The following is an 8,644-nucleotide window of genomic DNA, read 5'->3' as shown; positions in this document are numbered from 1 at the left end:
ATAAAATAACTCTCTTTAACTACTCAAATTTTTAATAACCCACAATCTACACAACCCTTTTGCAGCAAATCATTAATATAATTAGAGGCAGATTGCTTAGTGAAGATTAATATTAAAAGAAAAAAATATATAAATATATATAAATAGAGGACATATTTAATAGAAGAATTGGACGTATAAATAAAAAATGCAAGAATTCTTGTCCTTAGAAAAGACCCTGTAGTAGATTTACTGAAGGTGGAAAAATATGAAATAATTAGAAGAATTTAAAATATGATAAAAATCAATGTATTCATCATTGAAACAAATCTGTGTTTGAACCACATGACACTTTTATGTGACGAGATATTTAAAGTAGCAAATGCTGACTCTTCATACTAATCGATGATAAAAGAAAAATTATTTCCTCCAAATTCTATTTTTTTCCTTATGAAAATAATTTGGGTACATTAAGCATATGATTGAGATTATGGATTTAAATTTTTCAATATGTGTGACAGGGAAAATGTGTAGATAAAAAAGACCCTATAAAACTGACAGGGAAAATATGTAGATAAAAAAGACCCTATAACATTGACATAGAAATTGTATCATAAGGAAAATTTGAAGAAGTACATGCTGAGCATCATTTTAGAGGAAAGTAACTTAAATAGTTTATAGAAACAGTGGTATATTTTAATTTGATTTTTAAAAATGTATAGGTAATAAATCTTACCCTCTTTGATGAGAAGTTTTATGAGTTTAGACACATGGATGCAATCATGTAAAGAGCATCATAATGAAGATTAAGAACAGTAATATCAATCTCCCAGTTCTCTGGGGATGCCCTTTTGTAATCACCATCAACTTCTGAAAATCACTGATCGGATGTGTTGTTGTTGCTTTTTGTTTTTTTTTTTTTTTTTTTTTTGCTTAAAATATGGAACACCGGCCGGGCGCAGTGCTTGTAATCTCAGAATTACTTTGGGACGCCGAGGCGTGTGGATCACCTGAGGTCAGGAGTTTGAGACCAGCCTGATCAACATGGTAAAACCCTGTCTCTACTCAAAATACAAAAATTAGCTGGGCATGGTGGTGGGCGCCTCGGGAGACTGAGGCAGCAGAATCTCTTGAGCCTGGGAGGCGGAGGTTGCAGTGGGCCGAGATTGAGCAAGACTGTCTCAAAACAAAAAGCAAACAAAAAAATGGAATGCTTCATGAGTTTACATGTTGTTCTTCAGCAGAGGCCATGCTAATCTCCGTGTTATTCTAATTTCAGTATATGAGCTGCCAAAGCAACACTGACCAGCTTTTAAACCTGTATTTTTTCCTTTTCAAAAATGTCCTATAAGTAGATTTATAAAATATTTAGTCTTTTAGGATTACCATCCTTCACTTAGAGGGATACATTTAAGATTACATTTGTGGTGTTTTATCTATTAATTATTCCATCAAAAATGTGTACCACAGTTTATCTACTCATTCTACAATAGCCATTTTATTTTAATGGATTGGTCAAATCTTACCACCACAAATAATGTTGTGGTAAAAAATCATATTAAGATAATTTCCAGGTATTTCTTTTCAGCTCTTAATATAAAGTTATATCTAAGATTTAGATAATACTTACAATATTTAAGACATACAACTTTTAAAATTGATTTTATTTTATATTTCTAAATTATTTAAATATTTGATAAAGTCTAACAATTATTTAATTAGTTTAAAAATCATTTCAGTTCATTAAAATAATGTGAAAATAATATAAAGAAATGTAGATAGATGATAGATTAGATTAGATAGATCTATTTTTCTTCTAAAGACAGGAATATGTATATTTCCAACATTCTGACCTATTAAATTCATACATTTTCTAATCAAACTCTGTTTAATTTTTTTTCTTTAGAATACATCTCAACCAGTTTTGTTAAAGGCACAAGACACAATGATGTTGAAGATGTATTGGTATTATACATGTATTAGTGTAACATTTTAACCTGCATTATTAAACCAGCTAGAAGTCTTCAGGACGTAAATCCATTCAATCTAATGCACACTAGTTAACAGAATTTCTATCACACCATTATTGGGGAACATTTAAAAATGACTGGTAGCCAATGATACATGCAATGAAGTTGTTTTAAAATTAATATATTCATATGTCATATTAGATTAGGCAAGTTATACAATCATGTAGTACAGCCGCCTGCCTGGAAATTGAGTTTCCTTAGAGAAATGCATATGGATAAAAATTTAGACACTTAAACCTTGCTTGCCAAATTATATTCTCCACAATAAGTATTTTATACAGATGTTTCATTGTCATATTCACATTTTTATTTCTATTTTCATTACAAAATAAAACATAAACATTATAAAATGATTTTCACTTACAGTACTTCAAATAAAGTAAAACATAACCAGTTAAACAGCTTGTTAGATCAACATTATTTAACATTCACGCAAGATAAGTGTGACATATAATATCATATATAATATAATTATATTAAAAAATAAGTGTGTCAAATTTTATTGAAATTAAATCCTGGATCATTACAGATGCTTCCTAATATTAATAATAGTACATATGAGGAAGAAGAATCAAGTAATACCACACATTAATATTAGCAAATAACTATTTAGTGCAAAGTACCTGCAAACAGAAATGGAGCAAATTGATGCACTACATTTCTAACTACATTATTCCAAGTGTGATTTAACCAAAGGAAAAGAGATCAGAATTGGAAAGTGCCCACTAAAATACTAACAGGGGCAATGACTCATAATATAAAAACAGTTTCTAAATTCATGGCAGACAGAATATACATATACTATATGGAGAGACAAAGCTGTTATATATAATGTATTATATATAATGTATATTATATGGAGGGAAAAAGCTGTTTTATATATAATATCTATCATATATACTATATATTACTATATGTATATTATATATATATATTAAGCAAGACTCTGTCTCAATTAAAAATATATACTCTCTCTATATATATTTTTAAAATTGAGACGGAGTCTCGCTCTGTCACCCAGGCTGGAATGCAGTGGCTCAATCGTGGCTCACTGCAACCTCTGCCGCCCGGGTTCAAGAGATTCTCATGCATCAGCTTCTCAAGCAGCTGGGACTACAGGCACGTGCCACCAAGCCCGGGTAATCTTTTTTTTGTATTTTTAGTAGAGATGGGGTTTTGCCATGTTGGTCATTCTGGTCTCGAACTCCTGACCTCAGGTGATCTGGCCGCCTCAGCCTCCCAAAGTGCTGGGGTTACAAACACGAGCCACCACGCCCGGTCAACAAATTATATATAGATATATATGTGTGTATATATACACATGTGTGTGTGTGTGTGTGTGTGTGTGTGTATATATATATATATATATATATATATATATATATTATTGACTCCATTCCTTCCACATGAATACCAGATTTTGTCTTATGAAATTACTTTCATTGAAGAAAAAGACACATTAACAAAATATTATGAGGCTCTACTAAAAGAGTTTTTATGTGAGTATAATGGATGGTGTATGCTTGGGAGTTATGAGTACAACAGAAAAGCACAAAATATTTTCGAGTTGTGAGGAGGAAAGTAGAACATATTCCCAAGAAACAATAGATACGCAGCAATTAATGGAACTTAGCCAACAGGAAAGGAGGGACAAAGCTGTTTTATAAGAAGGTAAAAAAAATATATGAATGTTACGGAGATGTGAAAAAAACAGAATGAGTTCAGGAATTTCAAATAGTTCAATATGGTTGAAGGTCAGTGTGCTTAACAGAGAGTAGTGGAATGAAATTAGAACACTAGACAAAGTCTGGATCACACAAGATTTTAGATTTTATCCTAAATAAGCAATAAAGAGCCATTTGAGTGGCTTAAAACAAAGGAGTAAATAATCAGATTTATAAATTAGTCTAAAACCTTAGAAAGTTTTGGGGAAGCCAGTCTGAAAGGAGAGCAAATCTGAGGCTATTGCAACAAATTCTGGAATTCAGAGTTTCACAGTGTGCTCTGAGCAGAATAATTTGCCTGTGAGATTCTCAACAAGAAAGAGGTTCTGTAAAATACTTCATACTTTATGGGGCTCTTGGCAATTCACAAAGTATTCTAAAAGTAGTCTAAAAGTATCCTACAATTAACAAATGTATCTGTTTGTTTAATGCACTTCCCAATCTTTATTTTCTTTTTCTTCCTTTTTTTTAAAAAGAGAAATCATTTTTATATAACATTTTATTAAGAATCAAATAATTAGTGGCCCATAATACAAGCTATGGGAAATTTTACCCTGAACAGATAGATGTGTGCTAGGGTGAAGAAAGAGAAACACAAAGGATATGAGAATTATTTCCAAGGCAGAATGAAAAAAAGTAGGTATGGACTAAATGTAAGAAATGAAAAACAAGGAAATTTAGAAAATCCCCCAGTTTTCAGCTTGAAAAATTGAGCATTTGTTGTTTATGTAGTTTATATCAGTGAATAAAATATAATTTTATAAATGGGCAAAGAAAGAAGAACTATGAAGAAAATTGGTATTTATGTCTTTGTGGTAAACCACCTAAAAGGTAATGCTCTAGAACAAAAGGAGAAGATAACCTATATAGGAGTGAGTTGTAAAATGGCCAATGCTATTAAAAACCCTTATAATAAAAGTTTGAAATAAGGTGTGGAGTGAGAGCTAGCACATGGAGCCATTAGCAATAATTGAGGAGTGTGGCAGCTGCAATTTCATAGGTACCATGTAGCTGAGAAAACCTGTCCCAGAAGTTTAGAAAGTGAAGAGAAAGTGTGAAGTGTGTAAGAGAAGAAATGGTATAAAACAACAAAAAAACAGGATTCCATTTAATCATTACACCATGTAAACATATAAGAGAACATCATTCATTTCCCATAAATATATAAAATTATTACTGCAAATAATAATAAACAAAACACTTGAGTGAAGAGATGAAAAGAATTTAGAAAATCGTAGGAGAATAATTAGGAAAACCTATAAACTTCTTTTCTGACTCCTTCACGGCTTCCACGTCCTTTACCAACATGTGAGCACTGATGTTTCCTGTCCATTATCCTCTGTTCCCCTATCTTCAAATGCCCAAATTTTGTATTCTTATACCCTTATTGTACTTCAACAACTTTCTACGTACTGAATCTTTTCAACCCTGGTCCAACCCTGATTCCTCCCTGTGCTACAGAATTATATCTCCAAACATCCGCTGTTCGTATCCCCTTAGATGTTCCTCTCTAACCATATGTTAAAAATGTGCAAAATAAAACCGTTTCTTAGAATGACAATCAGATCACCTCACTCCAATCTCCAAAACGATTGAATGGCTTCTCATGTTACTCCTCTAGAAGCCAAACACCTTAGGCATTGGACTGGGTCTACATGGTCTCAAAAGCTAATGGCTTTCTGAATTCAACTTCTATTAGTTCTTCTACTCTCTCCTCTTTACTTTACTTCACTTCAACTACACTCAACTTGGAACTGTCCTCTTCCTCCTCAATGATTAGAAGCTTTCCCCTTCTCATTCAACCTCTCTGCAATGCTTTGTGCACTTGTATCACTGCGTGGCTGACTCTTTTATATTACCAGGTTTTCACTCATATGCCGTGTTATCAAGTAGGTTTCCCTCAACCATCCTGTCTTAAAATGGCATTGCTTCTCTTGTGCCCAGGGATTCTCTACCCTTCTTTATTATTTCTCTTAATAAGAATCAGGCATACACTATATTGTACATCTTATTATTTTATAATGACTCAATTGATTATAAGCTCTTTGCATATAGTTTTGCCTTTTGGTTCAGTGTTGCAGCCCTAGCACCTACATCAATACCTGACATATAGAAGATACTAAAAAATATTAGTTGAGTCAGTTACTATTTAAATTTAACTTATGAGTTAAAGAAATACAACACTTTTAGTGCAATCAATACGTGATAGTTCAATTCTTTGAATTATTGAGAGAATTAAAAAAATTTTATATTTAAAAATTTAAAATTTTAAATTCAACAAAGAAATCAAACTTGAAATAAAGCATGATGGAAGAAGTTTTGGTGAATGAAAATTTCTGTACACCTATTAGTAAATCTAAATATTTGCTCATCTTAAAAAATGAGAGATAGAGATTCATTATGATTGTTGTCAATAAGATCAAATTAAAGTAGTGAAGTTGTGAGAGGAAGGGAGTTAAACTTTGTTATTTGGCAGAATATTGAAAAAATGATTACCTTGACATTGGTTAATTCATGCATGCATATTAAAAAGTAGTCATGTAAAATTATAACTTAACATAGTACTTGGCACATAGTGAGTGCTCAGCAAATGTTAGTAATACTATTATGTTTTAATAAGAAGAATGGTGATTTTTCTCCACCCCCATTTGAAATGAAAATGATTGACCATGCAGAATCAATATTGTTTTATATCCAGATTTTATGTTTAATTTTCACAAATACCAACCACTATTAAAAATAAAAAATATTAACTAGAAAATAAACAAATATATAAATAAAATATAAACATTTACAACTGGGAAAAAATAAAATACAATTTTAAAATTTAATTAATTTGGCTGAATTAGCAGATGAAAATAACACAAATAAATAAATGATGTTAGAAAATAACTGGAGTTTGAAAAAAGCAGACCAAATATATCTATAATTGATTTCCTCCACAATGTTATCTTGAAAGTCCCATCCAGTAGAGTAAGAATAGAACATACTTGAGAACATAACTTAAGAAAACTGTCATAAAAAAGAAAGAACATAATTATTATTTGCAGAAAATACAATTAGGTATATAGAAAAGTCAAACAAATCTATCAGCAACTATTTAAAAACATACTGAGTTCCACAAGGTTGAGTGAATGAAAAAAAAAGTAGATAAAAACAAAAGCAGTAGCATTTCTATACATCAACAGTAAAAACATTGTATATAATATGATAAAAATATGATAAAAATTACTCCCAAATGTTACTTAAATATGAGTCTAACAAAATAGTTACCAAATGGTACTTGACAAAATATTCAATTCATGGATGAATCAATAATTATATGCAGGGATGTGAGTACTCAATGTTTAAAACAATTCAGTTACTCAATAAATTCAATGCTATTTCAATCAAAATTCAAAAGACTTTTTTTTTTAAAGAACCAGACAAACTAGAAAACCACAAGTCCGTAAATTTGTGAAACAGAAAAACAAAAAATGGAAAATTGATATACATTACATCAGAAATTACTACAAAATGTTATTAAATTAGCAGGTGAGTGGGGAAGATTCTCTACAAACACACACACACTTTGTACAAGCATATATTCATCCAATTAATTATTCATCTATTATTGTACTATATAAGATAATACTTTTTGTTTGTTTGTTTTTGAGACAGAGTCTCTCTCTGTCGCCCAGGCTGGAGTGCAGTGGCATCATCTCGGCTTACTGAAACCTCCGCCTCCTGGGTTCAAGCTATTCTCATGCGTCAGCCTCCTCAGTAGCTGGGATTAGAGGTGTGTGTCTGATTACTTTTTGGATTTTTAGTACACATTAGGCTTTTCCATGTTGGCCAGGCTGGTCTCAAACTCCTGACCTCAAGTAATCCACAAACCTAGGCCTCCCAAAGTGCTGGGATTACAGACACAGAATACTATGTTGAGCTGTTGGGTAGAAAAAATTCCACATATATGACAAAATAAGAACATTTATATTAAATGATTAATACACTTGTCTGCTTCAAAATTTAAGTTAAATGTCACAGTAAGAGTTACCAATTTAATATAAAATTTAAAAACAAAACAAAACAAAAAGCTTTGACATTACCTGGTATTTCCTTTGGTAATGCTCAGAGTCAAGAATGCTCTTATGTTGCTGATTAGACTAAACATGTGTCCAGCTTTCAGAATCAGTTTTCCAGCAGCTAATAAAGCTAAAAAAGAAAAAAGATTATAAAGTTTGAATCAGCAAATAGGCATCAAGCTCCAGAGAAACACTTGTACATAAGTACTCAGGAGGCAGAGACAAGACCTTGCCTTGTTATTTGTAAACTTAAAAACGTATATATCATCGATGAGTAGCAGGAAAAAATTGTATGAATTCATGGTTATCTATTTATGCTATCAAACACTATGAACCACATGAAATTGTAAAAATTAGATCTATTTATAGCAATATAAACAGACCTAGAACTTAACTTATTAAAAGTAAAATTAAACTGCAAAATTATAATATCAGAACTTTGACATAAAAATGAAACATTGGCCCCATTTCGTGGCTCACGTGTATAATCCCAGTACTTTGGGAGGCCAAGGTGGAAGGTTCACTTTAAGCCAAGAGTTCGAGACCCACCTGAGCAACAAACAAGACCCATAACTCAAAAGTAAAAATAAAAATAAAAATAAAAATAAATAGTTGAGGATGGTGGAGCCTGTCTGCAGTCCCAGCTACTCAGGAGGTTGAGGCGAGAGAACCTCTAGAGCCCAGGAGTTAAAGGTGGAAGTGTGCTATGATCGTGTCATTGCACTCCAGCCTGAGTGACAGAAACTCCATTTCTGAAAAAAAAAAATTCAAAAAAATCAAACATGTGCAATCAACAATATATATTGCTTATAGATACATTCCTATCTAGTAATAGCATCAACAATTG

The 8,644-nt window shown here is 31.7% G+C and overlaps 1 non-coding gene across 1 annotated transcript; it reads right to left on the bottom strand.

Annotated features, from left to right (window-relative positions):
* Positions 1-1,178: 1,178 nt before the first annotated feature.
* Positions 1,179-1,281, bottom strand: LOC124900885 (U6 spliceosomal RNA). Its single transcript, XR_007058519.1, has one exon. It is a non-coding gene; the product is annotated as a U6 spliceosomal RNA (small nuclear RNA).
* Positions 1,282-8,644: the final 7,363 nt, after the last annotated feature.

The sequence above is a fragment of the Homo sapiens genome, chromosome 4 (genome assembly GCF_000001405.40).
Source record: "Homo sapiens chromosome 4, GRCh38.p14 Primary Assembly".
In the NCBI taxonomy this organism is placed as follows: Eukaryota; Metazoa; Chordata; class Mammalia; order Primates; family Hominidae; genus Homo; species Homo sapiens.
Note: the sequence above shows the minus strand (reverse complement) of the source record. Positions and strands in the feature narration are given on the sequence as shown.